Source organism: Homo sapiens, chromosome 3 (assembly GCF_000001405.40).
Source record: "Homo sapiens chromosome 3, GRCh38.p14 Primary Assembly".
Classification (NCBI taxonomy): Eukaryota; Metazoa; Chordata; class Mammalia; order Primates; family Hominidae; genus Homo; species Homo sapiens.
Genome location: NC_000003.12, coordinates 126,351,772 through 126,368,588, shown reverse-complemented (window position 1 = coordinate 126,368,588; position 16,817 = coordinate 126,351,772). Strand labels below are relative to the sequence as shown.

Below are 16,817 nucleotides of genomic sequence, written 5' to 3'. Positions count from 1 at the left end.
GGCATGAGCCACCATGCCTGGCCTTTAACTATAATTTTTAAAAAAGCCTCCAAAGCAGTATGTATGATGTGTTCCCATTTTGGTAATATAGCAAGAAAATATTAATAATAATGTGGTTATCAATAATTGTTTTCTTCTTATACTTGTCTGTATATTCTGATGGTTTGGTCAGTGAGAAAATTTACAGAAAAACTATTGCAAAATAATAACTAAGTTGCACAATCAAAACAAACATAAAGCAAACCATTTTTTTCTGTTTATAAAAGTAATACATGTTCATTGTAAAAAATCTGAAAAAGCAAAATATGTAATGCTAAAAAGAAAGAGCACTTGTCATCCCACTATTCAACATAAATATTTGAAAAATCATTAACTTGAATATTTCTGTATTGATTTCTTTCTAATTTTTTTCTATGAATAAATTTTCCTTGCAAAATCATATCTAGAATAATTCCTATATAGAGTTTTAACTTTCATCAAGTAGTCTTAAAAACCTGATTTAAATAGATAAATGATGTTCCATTGCATGCACGGGACATAGTTTATGACCAGTTTTCCTTTTGTTGGTCATTAACTAGTTTCCATTTTTTTCTCAATGGCAAGTCATATCGGAAAGGACAAGTTTGTGCATAAATCTGGCTGCAAATCTGAATTTCTTTGAATCAGTTTCTGAACATAGACTTACCGGCTCAGGGCTCTAGTGCAAGGTTGTTTTCTGGAAATGTACCTATTTAACCTCTTTCCAACAGTGTTATAATTCCAGAATATCCCTGTCAATTGGATGAAAATAGCATCTTGTTTGCATTTGTGTTTCTTTGATCAGTGGTGAGGTTGAACATTTCCCAGTGTAAGGACTGGCCATTGGCATGCTCTGTCTTCATGCTACTCGGACTGGTGTTATCCTGATTGTGTGGAAGTGCCTGGTATCGGGCTGGGTGGGTGGTGCCATCTCATTGCCCTCTGAGGCCCCTCCTTGTGTGTGAAGCTTCCCCCTCATGTGCTGAGCCATGGCCCACCCTTGGTTCCTTTTGGGCAGCTTGGAGCTGAGTGACAGCCGGTGACCCCAGTCTGCTGGGCTTACGGGACGGGCACCTTGGGGAAAGGGGATGGGAACTTCAGGGCCAAGGTTGGCCTGAAAAACATGTGTTAAACTTTGAGGACTTTAACCAGGCAGGAGTGACTCATTAACTCCCTGTCACCCATCAATGCCCGCCAGCCAGATTCAGCTGGGGAGGGCAGGCTGGGGCTGGGGAGGTGATTTGGACCTGTCTTCCCTTCTGAATGGGAACTCAATTCCTTTCCAGTGGACACTGAAGCCTTGGCTGTGGAATATTCTCATGATTTCCATCTGTCGTTTTATTTGGCTCCTTTGGTGTGTCCATTCTGCTCTTCAGTCTTTGGATTGAGTTTGCATGGATATCATCAAGCATTACATTTCCAGGAATCATCTCTCGTTTTCTGAGTGCTCCTTTTTCATGGCGGCTGGTTCTTGTTTTATGGGTTCACCATGCCCATGGCAATAGCAATAGCGCCTGCCTAGCGGGAGATTATATGTTAGGTGAGGTGGAAGTTGTAGAGCACTCAGAACAGTGCCCGGCCTTCAGTAATTGCTCGAATGTTAGCTCTCAGCTGTGTGCCTGGGATACAGGAAGCACTCAGTAAAATTACCTATTATATTATCTGGTGGTCCACAGATGTTTTTCTAAGAAAGCTTGGAAGTTCCAGGGCTATGTCAATGGTCTGCCCCCTTCCTCATGCCATAGCCCAGGGAGGCCTAGCAGCCCAAACCATCTGTCCTTCCCCAAGGCATTGTCCCATCTGCCCCCAAAGAGCTGTAAGTTAAGAGTCCTCCACTCAAGACCCCCCAAAGGCTGTTTTGGCTGAACTCTTGGTGCAGAGGAGAAAGCAGAGACCGGTGGAGGGTGGTGACTTGCTCAGATCTCTGCAGCCAGTTAGAGCAGGGCTTAGCCTGCAGGTCTCCAGGCTCCCAACCTGCTGGCAGGGAGACATCACACCCTGGGCTGATGATGACTCCTTCTGCCGGATTCCCTTATAGAGCAGCTCTGTGCCTTCCTGCCCTCCTTCCTCTCCCCAGGGGCTGGAGCCCGTGTGTGTGTGTGTGTGTGTGTGTGTGTGTGTGTGTTTGAGTCATCTTGGGCCACGCGAGTGAGGGCTGTGACTGAGCAATGGCAGAGCCACAAAGTGGGAGGAGCCTGGGCCCCACACTGGGTTACCATCCCCATCCCTGACACTCAGCAGGTGGGAGGCCAGAGGGAGAGAGACAGTCTCCTGTTTAAGACACTGTTCTTTTTTGTCTCTGTGCCAGCATGGGGACTGTGTCCTGGCTCCTCGCAGTGGCTGGCCTGTACCCACCTAGCCACTGGTCACTGTTGGGACCTCCAGGACCCTGACCCTACATTCCTCACTCCCAAGCCAGGGGGCAGCAGGCTCCTACAGTCATGCAGGTGCAAGGACAATAAGGACCCTGTGGCAGCCAACACGGGTACAGGTGAGTGCCAGGCAGCACTGCCCTCCGTGTGCCTCAGCTGTGTCCTGCCCCAGCTCTTCCTGCAGGCTCGCACTTCCCACCTTGTATTGGGTCCCTCTCTACCTCCTCCCCCTTCCTGGGGTCTTAAAGCCTTCTCTATAGAGGAGGTAGCAGATTCTCCCAAATTCCCACTACCTTGCCATTTTCCGGATTGGGAGTAGTTTTTGCTGCCAACAAACAGCAGGGCCTGGCTGGTCAGCACTCACAGTGCTGGCAGAGCTTTAGCCTGCCTTGCAAAGCCCAGCACCTCATTCACACCAGCCTAGGTGGGGGTGTCATGGACCCTGCCATGGGCTCAGTCACAGCTCAGGGAAACTGGGACATGGCCAACACGGTTCTGAGAGGCAAGTGTTCGGCGCAGCTCTGGAGCTTTGCTGGTCTCTGAGCAGCATGTCCTCATCTACAGAGCGGGGAACAGACTGCGGCCTCTCAGCACATGCTGAGGGCTCAGGAGGCCTCTGCAAAGGGCTTTGTTAGCTGTGAAGTGTACTGCATATGCTGCCACTAACCAAAGAGCTGGAGAAGCCTCCAAGGAAGGTTGCCCCAGACAGGGTGATTTGTGGTGAGGATGGGGCAATTAAAGGCAGAGGCAAAGATGTGAGGCCAAGGCTTTGGGAAGCTCTGCCAGACCGAAGCCCCTCCCCAGACTGAGGGTGTCAGTGGTGGAAGGAATTCCTATGCCACTTGCTGCCATCTCCATCCTGAGCTGGCTCCACCAGGGTGGTCTAGACACTGCCTTCTTCCCAAACCTCTGCCTCTCTTGGAAGACCAGCCTGAATCACAGCCCCAGACCTTGAGTCCCGCCCACAGGGACCCACTCCTCCACTGCCTGGGATCCTCCTCAGAGGCCCAGCCCTGAACCAGCGTGGCTGTAAGCGAGGAAACTTGGGTGTGAATTCTGCTCTGCTGAGGACCCAGCACTGCTTTGGGTGAGCTGCTCCGCCCTCTGCTTCCTCCTCTGCAGGCAGAGGTGGGGCGGGCTGCATGCTCACCAGTATCCTCCTGTGCCCTTCTGGTAACAATGACAACACTCTGGTTTTGTGCTGGGGACTTCCCTCCCCACTCTGTTCATGAGATTCAGCAAGGTCAACTCTTCTCCCTTTCCAGGGCTGGCCCAGGCCTGGCTGTCAGTGGCCCACCTGCCCCTGGCCACAGCAAATGGGTCAGAGATGAGCTTGTGACACTAGCAGGACCAGCCAGCAGCCAGCCAGGGCCCCTGCTGGGCCCATCAGCATCAAGCAGTGCAGCCTGGAGCTGCTGAGACAGGCCCATGTGGAGGGAAGTGAGACCAAGAAGCCAAGGATCAGGGTCCCCCCAGCAGCAGAGGCCCTGGCATCAGCTGGGCCTGGAGCCCACATTGGAGGCTCCGCTTACTTCAGCCTATCAACTCCATTTCCCCTTAGACAAATGTGGGTTGGACTGGTTTCAACTGAAGTGTGCTTGAACTAGGGATGGTTGTCTCTGAGCCTGGGGCTGGAGAGTGGCCTTGGAATAGGAGCCGCAGCAAACAGGATTCTTGAAGGAGCAGGAGGGAGGCTAAGGTCAGAACGAGGAAGGCTGGCCAGAGGCTAGGAGGTGCCTGAGAGCGGCACACCCAAACACACATCTGCTGTGTATCTGCTCTGGACTGGACACTCAGACAGCGTGTCTGTGCTGGGGGCCTGGCCTTGTGCTGGCGGCAGGGGATCTGCAGATGATGCAGGCCTGGTTCCCACTGCCATGGTGCTCATGGTCTAGGGGAGGGAGCAGCATGTGCCCAGCACACTTCATGGCTCACTCAGAGCTCAGTGGAGTCCTGGGAATGGAGGGCCCTGCGGCAGGCCACTGCTTGGGAGGGCCGTTAGAAGTTACAGGTGGCCAAGGTGGGGAGCGCCTGGGCCACAGGACCCTGAGGAAGCTCCACTGGACCTGTGGACAACAGTGCTCAAGAGGATGAAGCACCAGTGAGGTGGCCTCAGAGCACGGGGGACTGGGGAATGAGAATGGAAGAAAAAACAACAAAAAAAAGTAATATAAAATTTTTTCAGAGCTAAATAAAAGCATGAAGTCTTCTTCACATGCTGACCAAATAGAAGAAGAATGAATAAATGAAGCCAACACCAGGTAAGTCACCATAAAATTTCAGATAATCAAGGATAAAGAGAAGATCCCAAAAGCTTCTTAGAGAAAAAAAACAGGTAGCCTCTGTCTTAGTCCACTGAGGCTGAGATAACAAAACTACCGTAAACTGGGTAGTTTATAAACAACAGAAATGTATTTCTATCAGTTCTGGAGTCCAGGAAGTCCAAGATCAAGGAGCAGGCAGATTCAGCCTAGTGAGGGCTCACCCTCGGGCTCACAGATGATGCCTGCCATAGATGGATGTTTGACCCTCCCAAGCTCGTGTGGAAATGGGGAGGTGGAGCCTGGTGGGACGTGTCTGGGTCAAGGAGGTGGTTTCCTCGTGAATAGATTAGTGCCCTCCGGGGAGAAAGGGGGTGAATTCTCACACTGTGAGCTCCCTAGAGACCTGGTTGTCAAAAAGAGCCTGGCACCTCCCCTCAACCTCGCTTTCTCTCTCACAGTGTGACCTCTGCACATAATGATTCTCCTTCACCTCCACATAATGATTCTCCTTCACCTCCACCATAAGTGGAAGCTTTCTGAGCCCTCACCAGGAGCAAATGCTTCCTGTACATGCATTTGCTGTACAGGTGCCATGCTTCCTGTACAGGTGCCATGCTTCCTGTACAGCCTGCAGAACTGTGGGCCAAATACACCGCTTTTCTTTATCATTTACCCAGTCTCCGGTATTCCTTTATAGCAATGCAAATGGACTAAGACAGCGTCTTCTCGCTGTGTCCTCACATGGTGGGAGGGAGGAGGGGTTATCTGGGGCCTCCTTTATAAGGGCATGAATCCGCTCAGGAGGGCTCTACCATGTGACCTCATCACCTCTCAAAGGTCCTACTTTCTAATACCATCACCTTGGGGGTTAGGATTTCAACATGTGAATTTTGGGGGGACACAAATATTCAGACCATAGCACCTACAAAGGAATAAAATTCCAGTTGGTATCAAACATCTCATAGCAACACTGGATGCCAGATGACAGTGGAGCAATACCTTCAAGTTCTGAGCAGAAATCATTTTGAATCTAGAATTCCATAACTATCAATAAAGTGTGACAGCAAATTAAAGATGTTTTTAGACATGGTAAGTCTCAGAAAGGTTATCTTCCAAGCACCTTTACTGAAAAAACTTACTTGATGATGTACTCCAAATAAAATAAGAAGGAAACTCAATCATAATCATAATCAATTATAACCATAAAAATAGTGGTATTATGAAAGGAAATCTGAGGGCGGATTTTCAAAAGGTTTAGAAAACACCAGTTCAAATTAGAAAAGAAAGGTGATTTGCATCTTGAAGTATGACAAAGAGACTGAATAGCAGCAATGCTAATGCATGCTGGTCCAGTCCCAGCAGGGCACATGGACACTGCCACAGGGCGATCAAGGGGACTTGAATGCAGGAGAGATTTACAGACACATGGGCAGGGTGAGGGGTTAAGGGACTTAAGGGTTTGGGGAAGGGTTACCTAAACCTGGAGAGATCTCTAGGAGAGGCTGCCTGATAGAGCCATGGCCATGGGTAGAGGGACACAGCCAGTAATGGTGACACATGGGGGGGCCAGGCAGTGGAACACATTGAACCTCACATCCTGCCCACACTCCAGTAGCTTGTCAGTGCCTCCCACGGGCCAAACTCATTCAGAGACCAAAGCTACCTATTCACAGTCTATGCAGCCATGCCTCTGGGGGCACAGACACTATTTGGCAGGCAGGGTGGGGCCATACACTTGTTGTACAGACACAAAAGACACAGGCATATTTTTATTTATTTATTTATTTATTTATTTATTTATTTATTTATTTATTGAGACAGGGTCTTGTTCTGTTGCCCAGGCTAGAGCGCAGTGTGCAATCTTGGCTCACTGCAGCCTCCACCTCCTAGGCTCAAGCAATTTTCCCACCTCAGCCTCCCAAGTAGCTGGGACTAACTACAGGCACACACCACCATGCCTGGCTAATTTTTGTATATTTGTAGAGACAGGCGAAACTGCCCTGTTGTCTAGACTGGTCTGGAACTCCTGGACTCAAGCAATCCGCCCGCCTCGACCTCCCAAAGTCCTAGGATTATAGGCGTGAGTCACGGTCCCCAGCCCAGAACATTATTTAGAACAACAACAACAACAAACAGAACTGGTAGGTGGCACTGGCGCTGAGTAGAATTTTTACTTTTTGTTTCATGCCTTTCTGTAGTGCTTGAACTTTAAAAATGTGTGCAGGTGTTATTTTTAAAAGAATTACTTAAATGAATGGCCTGAACACCAGTCTGGGAGGCTTGAAATTGAACCAACAGGGGACAGAGAATCCCATGGCTTTCATCCTATTGACAAGGTGGCCACTGTTTCCCTGGCTTCTAGCTTTTGCCGGGCTTGGTACACCCTTCCATGAGAGAGCCTGGAGTGGCGGCCACTCCCATTCCCTAGAGCTAACCTGCCCTGCTCTGTGGTCTCTTCCTGCTCCTTGGTGCTGCTCCTTGCTGCTCCCAGTGCGTCTCCCCAGGGTGGCGTCCATAGCCCCCTTCACACTCGTCCTTATCACCTGCACCACCGTCATCCTGCTGGGCCCCCTACACTGCACTGGGATCTCAGGAGGCCCTGGCAGTGTGAGTGGCATCTCATCTCCGCAGCAATGCTCGGCACTGGCAGGACGGCTGTCCAGGAGCAGTGAATACATATCAGAAGGAATGGTAACAGCCTGTAATGAATCTCTGTACTTTCCAATGCCTTTTCCCATCTCTTACTTTGGTTATCTTCAAACAACCTTTTGAGGTAAGTAGGATAGGGGTCTGAGCACCCATTTTATAGATGAGGAAACTGAGGCTCTGAGAGACAAACTGATTTGCCCAAGGCCACTCAGCAGTGAGGGACTGTGTGAAAGAACCAGAGTCCAGGCTGCCACGCATGTACAGCCCCACTAGGCTGGGGTTCAGGCTGCCTGCCTGCCTGGAAATCTGTCAGGTGTCAGAGAGACCACAACTCATGGCAGAGACGGGGATGAGGGGAAGCTGAGGAGCCCTCTGACCCCAGCACCACACTGATGTGTCCATGGACCAGGGGAAGCTGGAGCTCTCATCCCACCTCAGCCCCTGCTGCTTCTGGATCCTCCGGGCAGGGGTATACCTGGGGCTTTGCCAATGCTCAGAGCCAGGGGCAGAGGCTCTCAGGGCAGAGGCTCTCAGGACTCAGCCCTTCTCTGTGTCTTCTTGGACCACCAGGTCCCCAGGTCCCTGGGCTGATGTTCCTCAAAGCTAGGTGTGCTCAGGGCTGGGGGGCTGGGGGTGGGGACAACACTGGTCATGAGAGAGGAGTGGGCCCTCATCTGAGTCGCCTGGTGTCAGAACAGACCTGACCTCTTGTCTACACAGCACCAGGGGTCTGCTTGGTGGGGAAACGGTCCAGCCCAGCCTGAGGAACCTCCTGCAGCATGTTTTTCCTGGCCCCTGGGCACCAGCAGCCCTTCTGCCTGCCTATTCCCTAGCCTCCAGCTCAAAACCACTTCCTGAGCCCAGAATGGGTAGGATCTCTTCAGCACCCCAGCCCTTAGAGGAAGAGGTGGTGAGAAGGTAAGGGACTCTGGCCAGAGACCCTTGAAGCATGGCTGGGGACAGGGGAGCTGAGAGTAGGGGGAATTGTTGCTTCCCACCTGGGAAGGGTGAGGAGAAGTCAGTCACTGTGGGAGGTCACAGGGCTTGATGGCCACAGTGGGCCCTTTGTGCACAGACCATTGAGCCACTGAATGGGGCCCTCAAAATGCTTCCTGGAAGAGGGCAGGCTGGGCTCAGACCCCCGGGCAGGCATGAGCTAGTGGGGAGGCTGGAAGTCTCAGGTATGTGTGTGGAACAGGGGATGAGGACAAGATTGGTGGCTACAGTACTGTGGAAGAGAGCACCAGACCTTGAAGAGCTTCTCCAAAGATCCCATATCCATTGGCAGCTTTACTGGGGCAAGAAGAAAATCTCATTTCCTCAACATGTTTCAGAAGTGTTCTAGGTTCTGGGGATACAGCAGTGAATAAAAAAATACAAGTCCATGCTCTTAAGGAGCTTGTCTCCTGATAGGAGAGACAGGCAAGAAACAAATCAATAAATAATATAAAGATCAGGATCATGAAGCAAAATAAACAGAGGCCAGGAAACTGAGGGCAGCAGATGTGCTGTTTTAGACGGGATGGGTGAGGAAGGTGTCTGGGATAAGGTGGCATCTGAGCAGAGACCTGAGTATGCGATGGAGCAATCCATGCAGCTGTTTAGGGGGAAACAAGAGACAATAGAAGAACGTTTCCCTGAACGAAGAAAGACTTGAGTTTCCAGATTAAAAGGATACACCAAGCATAGAGTAGTAACAATGAAAACAGAAGGAGGCTAGAGTCAGACATATCCTGGTAAAATGTGTGAAATTCAAGCATGGAGAAAGATCACTCCAAAAAGGCACCAGGCCCAAATGGTTTTATAGGCAAGGTCATACAATATTTAACCAATATAATTTATATCCTTCCAAGGCCCTTTTCTATACTTGATTATGTAGAAGTAGGGAAGGAATTGCTTTGGAAGAAAAGAAACTTAGAGATTTTCACTGCTATGAAGATAAATCTTTACTGTTTTTGGTCATCTGTTTTGAAGAGCACCACCTGACTTTGTTCTCTCCTTTCTGCCAAGGAATCTCAATGATAGATTCTCCCCACTATATTGAGGGAGCTTTTCTCCTTAGATATGGTTTGGGGTAAATGCTGTACCTAGCTGTAGGGCATTAAAGATTGTGGTGAAAACTTGGGCTTTACTTACTCTGAGTGAGTTGGGAGCTGCTGGAAGCTTCTGAACCCAGAAGGGACCTGATCTGACTCAGGTTTTAACAGGACCATCTTGGCTGTTCTCCAGTTTCTAGCCAGTGGGGCCTCCTCCCTGTGTGCTGAAGGTGCTAACGATGTGTCTTTGCTTCCAAGCTTTTTCTGACCTTTTGCTGCAGCTTTCACCAAGGAGATGGGAGGCACTAGACTGAGAGTATGTGAGGAGTGAAGACCGAGGGCGGGCAGGGCAGATGGAGAAGTGCTGTGGCTATGCCCAATCCAGACCTGCACTGAGACAAAATGAGGAATACAGGCCTCTATCTCTTCTCTTATGAAAATGGACAAATTCCACTGTTCTGCCCAGGCTAGCCAGGGCTGCTGTAATGCCAGAGTGGTCATTCCAACTTCTGTGAACTAGAAAGCCTCTCACCATCCTCAACACAAATGTCCTTAAAGCCCTCTGGCAACGCATTGGTTTGGCTCCTAGTGGCAGCAGCAGCTGAATCCCTGGCACTGACCTGGTGCACAGTGTCCCCAGATCCCTGGTCAAGCAAGCCTAGACCTATAGCATTCCAGAGAGCCTGGAAAGGGTATGGTTAAAAATTCCTGTTCTAGCAATGTCTTCAAGAAGAAGCAGGAGAAAATGCTCCCCACCTCCCAGTGCCAGGAGGGGAGAGGAAGGAAGCTCAGTAGGACAGCTCTGCACAGGTGGCCTGGGGGTGTCTGCAAGATGACCTGGCTCTACCTCTCTACCTGCTCCTTCCCAGCTGTGGGGCTGGGGAGGGCTGGTGCCCTCTCTGAGTCGGTTTCTTCATCTGTAAAGTGCTTGGCTGAGGATCCAGCTGGAGTGTGGATTAAAGGGCACAGCAGGGTGCCTAGCACCGTCAGCCCACGTGTTTTTCTTGGGCAAGCCACTCTGAGCCTTACTCTTCCTGTCTCTAAGCGGGAACCCAAATGCGAGCCAGGATTGCTGCGGACTAAAGCAGTCTACGAACGCTTTTGTAGACTGCGAAGCATTGTTTGGTCTTCAGAAAGGTGCCCCAGAGACAAGGTGTCATTGGTTTCAGGTGGGGGGGGGGGGGGCCGGTCAGCAAACCTCCTTAGTCCTGGAGGGCAGGGTGGCAGCGCAGAGCGCGCGCAATTTCCGGAGGGTAACTGATTGTCCTGCTGAAAGCCCAATACCGTATTTATCCAAAAATACGTCCTTCTAGGCAAGTGATTTATCTGACACTCAGCGGGGGACAGAGCTGCTTGTACCGCGCTGGGGATGAAGGTGGGGACGTGGGCCAGACCGGGCCAGACAGGCTCCCCAGCGCTTCCCGCTCAATCACGCAGACTGCACTTTGGGGCGATCTCAGAGCTTTTCTTAAGTCTTCAGGCCAGTCTCACGTTCTCACCTTGGGAACCGAGCTTTAGAAGCCGGCCCTCGTGGACGCCGCGAGACAGCGGCGAGAGGTGGGAAGCAAGGAGGTGGCTGCGGGCCAGGGACCAGGCAGCGTGTTGGGGGGCGTGCGCGTCTGGCAGCTCCGGGATCCCCGAGCATCCGCCGCTCAAGTCCGGGAGCCGCGCGGGCGGGCCGGGGCGGGGCCAGGGCGGGGCCAGGGCGGGGCGGGACGTGTGACGCGCAGCGCGGGCCAATGGGGCGCGCGCCCGGGGCCGAGCCTCCTGCGAGCCTTCGCGGCGCCCGCTGCGTCACGTGAGCGGCGGGGAGTGAGTGCCCAGCGAGCTGCGGGCGGGCTAGTGCTCCGCCGCAGCGACCCGCGGGCCGGCGGGCGATCGAGCCAGCGCAGGACCCGCGGCTCGGCCCCCGGCCGCCGCCGGACCGAGAGTCTAGCCGCCGCCCCCAGCCCAGCCCGCCCGGCCGCAGGACCGCCGGGGCCTGGCCGCCGGTCCGGCGTGCGCCAAGTTCAGGTGGGAGAGGCGCGGCGGGGCCGGCCGGCCGCGTGGACGCGGCCCCGGGTGATCAGAGGGCTGGCCGGCCTCGGGGCGCGTGGCCGTGCTCCCGCGCAGCTCTCGGAGGCACCGCGCGAGTGCTGGAGGAATGTCGGAGGAGCGGGATGGGCCCCCGCGGAGGTGGGCAGGGGTCGGACTGGCCCGGGGGAGGTGACCCCCCCCGCCCCGGTCGCCCACCAGCACTTTGCTGAGGCCCGCGCCGCCGCCTCGGTGCCTGGCCGGGCGATTCCGTGGCGCGCCTTGCGGGCCGGCCCTCCCATATGGTGGGCACCGGCGCGGCCTGGTGAGAGGAGGGGGAGAGCGGACGCGCTGGCCAGCCCGGGGTTGGGGGGCGGAGGGGCTGGAGACGGAGGGGTTACTGTCGGTCACCGCAGCAGTGTCGGGGGCAAGGGGGGGGCGTGGGACGAGGGCATGGTGCCCAGCGGGCAGCGGTCCAGGACTCTAGAAGGGGTCTGAGCCGGCTCTCTTCATTTCCCACGCACGTTTCCCCTCACCCGCCGGCACCCACGGCGGCTCCACGCGCGAGTCCTTCGCGGACAGCCTCCCGCACAGCCACAGCGGCTGCCGCGCACCACGCCCCGCACACGCAGTCACACGACAGGAACTCACACCCCTTCACGCACACCCGCACCGTTCACGCGTCTCACTCCACGCTGAGTCCCCGTCCGCTCAGACCGAACATTACCAAAGCCATGGCCTGACCGAGGGATGGCGGCGGCGGGGCAGAGAGGCCGTCCCCATCCCATATGGTGGTCCGGTTCACTCTTCCCTCCCCGCCTTGGTGTTACTCATGGAACCCCCCTCTCACGGAGGGCACAGAGGGGCTGTTTTCTCCCACGGCCCTCGGAGGTGACAAAATCAACAATTGTTTGAGAGCCTCAAATCTCCTTCCCCCTGTCCCCCCGGACCAGGTGGCCCCTGGGGAGACCCTGCCGCCCTACAGGTGTGAGGACGCCCGGACTCTGCGACTTTGGGGCCTGCGGGCGGCTCAGGGACCGGAGACTCTTATTTTGAAGGACAGCCCCCGCCGCCACCCCCGTGATTTGCACGCTGACCCAATGGCAAGCCCTTGGCCGGCGCTGGGCTTGTTATCAATTACATGTTGTTCCTGCAGCCGCTGTGTCCCCGGGAGGATAAACAGCAGGCCTGGCCGGGCCAGGGGAGGGGGCGGAGTCCGGCGGCCAGCCGGGGACTGTGCCCGGAACAGCGTGTCCCCTCCCCCTGCACGCAGCCTGCGCCTCTGGCCGCCCCACGTGCTGCTGTGTTTCAGGGGCCGAGCCAGCTCCAGCCCTAGAGTGTCCTCTCTTTAATGCCGGTGCCCTGGGACATCCCAGAGCCCTTTCTGGGTTGTCAGTGCCTGGGTGCTTCCCCCTTGGGACGTTCAGCCCAGCATTAAGACCCTGTTGGCTGACCTGGGCCACCCATTCCTACTCTCCGACCTCCCCCGCTCTCCCCCGCACCTTCCATTCACTCATTCAGCAAATTTTGCCCGGTCCTGTTTTAGACTCTGGGATATGGCCTTGGAGTGAACAGTCAGGACAGCTGATATTCTGATGGGAAGGTAGACAGGGAGGAAAGTTCACAAACACATCACCAAGATAGTTTCCCACAGTAGAAACTGCAGGGAAGAGTATAATATAGGATGATGTAACAGAGTGGGCCTGGAGGCCCCCACAGGGGTGACTTCTGAGCCGAGATCTAACTAAGCAGCTCCCACCTGCAGTGCTGGGGGAAGAGCCAGGGCAGTGGCCCCGGGCTGAGGCTGAAGTGAAGTGAGCACACCTGGACTAGAAGAGAGGCAGTTGGTGGTGAGGTCTGCAGAGAGTCCCAAGGGCCCAGGTGCTGGGCTGCTGCGAGGAGATAGGGCCACCTGTCCTTGGGAAGCCATTGGAGGGTGTTTCCTTCCAGCCCCCCTACTGTACTTTTTAGATCACTTTATCTGTCAATATCTGTTTATATGTTTAAAAGGTAAGGCCTCCTTTAACCACAATATGATCATCACAATTAAAAATATTAACAGTAATTACTTAATATCATGGGATGGCCAGTTAGTGATCACGTTTCAGGGGAGGGCTCTAAGGCCTGCTCTGGGTCCCAGGAGGGCTGGAGGCCCCTGATTCCTTAACATCACAGTAGAGGGGCAGAGGCCGAACGTTTGCCGTGCCTGCAGGCTGACACCAATGGCTGGCACTGGCTGAGTGCTGCCGGTGTGCCAGATCCTGAGGGGGGTGCTTAGTGAGCGTCAGCTCACGGAATTCTCACAACACCTGAGGAACCAGGCACTGTTGGAAGCACCCCCATCTCACAGACTGAGACAGACACAGAAAGGCTGTGCACCTGCCTGAGGTCACCTGGCAGACAACTTGCAGACTCAGAAATGGAGCCCCTGCTTGGAGGGTGGGAAAGGGTTGGGGGAGGCCCAGGGTGGAGTGTGGGCTCTGCCCAGCCTTGTGCCCTTCACAGTGTCTAGCACTTTCATTCCTTCCCAGCACCTGATTTGGTGAATAGGTGCATTTTAAAACATATTCCAGGTTTAAATCCTTAGCTGAGTATTTAAACCAAAAAGCCAAATGTCCTCCTAGTAAAACTGGCCTGGGGCACAGACCTTGCCTTAGTTTCCTGGAGCTCCGTGAAGCTTCCTGGGTAAGTTGGGAACTGGGGCTAAAGGTCCTGGGGTCCCTGAGCAGGAAGAGACTTAGAGATCTTTGAAGCATGGAACAGATGAGGAAACTAAGGTTTGGGAAGGGGAGCAAGGACTTGCTCAAGGTTGTAGCTGATGATGGTATTGGCCATTGGGCAGTGCCGGGTGCCAGGCCCTGAAGGGGTCCTGGAGACAGAGGGGCTGGGTGTAGAGGTGATGCTGGGCAGCAGAGAACCTCTGACTTTGGTGCAGAGCATTCCCCTTCCCCAAGCTTGATAAACACCCAGCCTGCCCTGGTCACTGAGCAGGGACAAAGGTTCACAGAGGTGGCCCCGTCACAGCTGGACACTATTGACTCTCCTTGGCACCAGACCTAGCATGTCCTTGGCTTCAGAGGATGCAGCTTTCCCTTCTCCTCTCTATCAAAGTTCTCTGAGCCCCTGCTGGGCACCAGCGGCCAGTCCAGGCACTGGGGACGCAGCAGAGACATGGAGTGCACTGTCTCAGGGGGAGACAGGCATTAGCTGAACCTTCGCAAGGCGGTGAGTGTCCCAGATGGAGAGAGCAATGGCAGAGAGTGCAGGGGACTCCACTTCCTTATTGGTCAGGATGGGCTGGGGGGGTGGTTGTCTCCTTTCCCACTAGATGGGTGTGAAGTCCAAGGCAGTTAGGCACATGCGGGTGCTCTGGGACCCCAGTGGTCTGCTTCCACTCCACGGATTATCACCAGAGGGGCAGGGCCTTGGCCACCAGGATGCTCAAGCATCAGGGTGCAGGTGAGAGGGTTGCGTTCAAGCCTGTGCCACTCACAGGGCAGTCAAGGCTCAGAGGGGTTTGAGGACTGGAGAGTGGAGGAGCTTTAGGTGGGGAAACAGCTGCGCAGGCAGGCACTTTTTGGTCTTTGACTGTTTTGCCTACATGCTACACTTGCCCAGTTAAAATGCAGGCGGCCTAGTTAAATTTGAATCTCAGGTGAAATAATTTTTAAATGTAAGTGTGTCCTATCCAATATTGGGAACATACTTATATTAAAAATAGTTTATTTTTTAAATCTGAAATTCGAATGTAACTGTTGGCTTGTATTTTTATTTGCGTAATCTGGCAACCCTCTGGAAGCCTCAGCAACATGAGGGTCAGAGGGCAAATGGCTGTTCTACCCCCATTCTGTGACTCAACAGGCGTGAAGCTGAGGTCAGGAGTCCTCAGATGTACAGTGACTCCTATGATGTTGACGGTGGGCTGATTCAGGGCTTTGGCCCTCCTGGGGTCCAGAGAGCCTCCTCGCGCATGCCCTTCTCTCATACTCACCCATACTCAGTTGTTCACAGACATATGTGCTATTTTCCAGGATAATTCTGGAAAATCTGTTTGAAACCAGAAGTGCCCCTGGTTATGCAATGGGCTTGGAGAGGTCTCTTTTGCAAACAGGTGGTGCAATTTCAGAAAACACTCTTGCAGGCACAGCTCTCCTGGGGGATGGAAGCAGGATCCAGGCGTTTGGCAATAGGAGGCTGTGGGCAGGCAGCTGAGGGTGGGGTCAGAGGCCTGCGAGGTGGCAGGTGAGCACTGTCCTTCTGACCAGGCCTCCTGTGTTCCTTTCCTGCAGCCGCCACCGGCACGGCCAGGCCAGCATGGTGGACCACTTACTTCCAGTGGACGAGAACTTCTCGTCGCCAAAATGCCCAGTTGGGTATCTGGGTGATAGGCTGGTTGGCCGGCGGGCATATCACATGCTGCCCTCACCCGTCTCTGAAGATGACAGCGATGCCTCCAGCCCCTGCTCCTGTTCCAGTCCCGACTCTCAAGCCCTCTGCTCCTGCTATGGTGGAGGCCTGGGCACCGAGAGCCAGGACAGCATCTTGGACTTCCTATTGTCCCAGGCCACGCTGGGCAGTGGCGGGGGCAGCGGCAGTAGCATTGGGGCCAGCAGTGGCCCCGTGGCCTGGGGGCCCTGGCGAAGGGCAGCGGCCCCTGTGAAGGGGGAGCATTTCTGCTTGCCCGAGTTTCCTTTGGGTGATCCTGATGACGTCCCACGGCCCTTCCAGCCTACCCTGGAGGAGATTGAAGAGTTTCTGGAGGAGAACATGGAGCCTGGAGTCAAGGAGGTCCCTGAGGGCAACAGCAAGGACTTGGATGCCTGCAGCCAGCTCTCAGCTGGGCCACACAAGAGCCACCTCCATCCTGGGTCCAGCGGGAGAGAGCGCTGTTCCCCTCCACCAGGTGGTGCCAGTGCAGGAGGTGCCCAGGGCCCAGGTGGGGGCCCCACGCCTGATGGCCCCATCCCAGTGTTGCTGCAGATCCAGCCCGTGCCTGTGAAGCAGGAATCGGGCACAGGGCCTGCCTCCCCTGGGCAAGCCCCAGAGAATGTCAAGGTTGCCCAGCTCCTGGTCAACATCCAGGGGCAGACCTTCGCACTCGTGCCCCAGGTGGTACCCTCCTCCAACTTGAACCTGCCCTCCAAGTTTGTGCGCATTGCCCCTGTGCCCATTGCCGCCAAGCCTGTTGGATCGGGACCCCTGGGGCCTGGCCCTGCCGGTCTCCTCATGGGCCAGAAGTTCCCCAAGAACCCAGCCGCAGAACTCATCAAAATGCACAAATGTACTTTCCCTGGCTGCAGCAAGATGTACACCAAAAGCAGCCACCTCAAGGCCCACCTGCGCCGGCACACGGGTGAGAAGCCCTTCGCCTGCACCTGGCCAGGCTGCGGCTGGAGGTCAGTATAGCGAGTGACAGGCCTGGGCAGTGAGCACAGCCACTCATGTCTGCTTACTTGGGTGTGCAG

General features: G+C 54.3%; 1 protein-coding gene across 5 annotated transcripts in view, besides 6 other annotated features; it reads left to right on the top strand.

Moving 5' to 3' along the window:
* Positions 3,582–3,651: a silencer, noted in NCBI's record as "silent region_14676". NCBI's record gives its function as "represses an Ori minimal core promoter by ATAC-STARR-seq in GM12878 lymphoblastoid cells {active_cell/tissue: GM12878}" and the evidence as "EXISTENCE:reporter gene assay evidence [ECO:0000049][PMID:35858748]".
* Positions 5,714–6,215: an enhancer, noted in NCBI's record as "NANOG hESC enhancer chr3:126081217-126081718 (GRCh37/hg19 assembly coordinates)". NCBI's record gives its function as "activates a minimal SCP1, AML or CMV promoter by ChIP-STARR-seq in naive H9 embryonic stem cells {active_cell/tissue: H9 hESC(naive)}" and the evidence as "EXISTENCE:reporter gene assay evidence [ECO:0000049][PMID:30033119]".
* Positions 11,002–11,221: a silencer, noted in NCBI's record as "silent region_14675". NCBI's record gives its function as "represses an Ori minimal core promoter by ATAC-STARR-seq in GM12878 lymphoblastoid cells {active_cell/tissue: GM12878}" and the evidence as "EXISTENCE:reporter gene assay evidence [ECO:0000049][PMID:35858748]".
* Positions 11,002–11,879: a biological region, named in NCBI's record as "H3K27ac-H3K4me1 hESC enhancer GRCh37_chr3:126075553-126076312".
* Positions 11,120–11,879: an enhancer, noted in NCBI's record as "H3K27ac-H3K4me1 hESC enhancer chr3:126075553-126076312 (GRCh37/hg19 assembly coordinates)". NCBI's record gives its function as "activates a minimal SCP1, AML or CMV promoter by ChIP-STARR-seq in naive H9 embryonic stem cells {active_cell/tissue: H9 hESC(naive)}" and the evidence as "EXISTENCE:reporter gene assay evidence [ECO:0000049][PMID:30033119]".
* KLF15 (KLF transcription factor 15) overlaps positions 11,181–16,817 on the top strand; it is a 69,284-nt gene continuing 63,647 nt past the window's right edge. For 3 of the 5 annotated variants that reach the window (XR_001740124.3, XR_924449.3, XR_002959509.2), the window contains exons 1-2: positions 11,406–11,514; positions 15,642–16,748. Coding sequence is in view for 2 of the 5 variants with exons in the window: in XM_011512743.3 (XP_011511045.1) it covers positions 11,483–11,514; positions 15,642–16,748 (1,139 nt within the window). In the remaining 3 variants the exon portion in view is untranslated. Of the gene's footprint in view, positions 11,515–15,641; positions 16,749–16,817 lie in introns of all 5 variants that reach the window. The other 2 variants (NM_014079.4, XM_011512743.3) reach the window with 2 other exon arrangements.
* Positions 11,880–12,639: an enhancer, noted in NCBI's record as "H3K27ac-H3K4me1 hESC enhancer chr3:126074793-126075552 (GRCh37/hg19 assembly coordinates)". NCBI's record gives its function as "activates a minimal SCP1, AML or CMV promoter by ChIP-STARR-seq in naive H9 embryonic stem cells {active_cell/tissue: H9 hESC(naive)}" and the evidence as "EXISTENCE:reporter gene assay evidence [ECO:0000049][PMID:30033119]".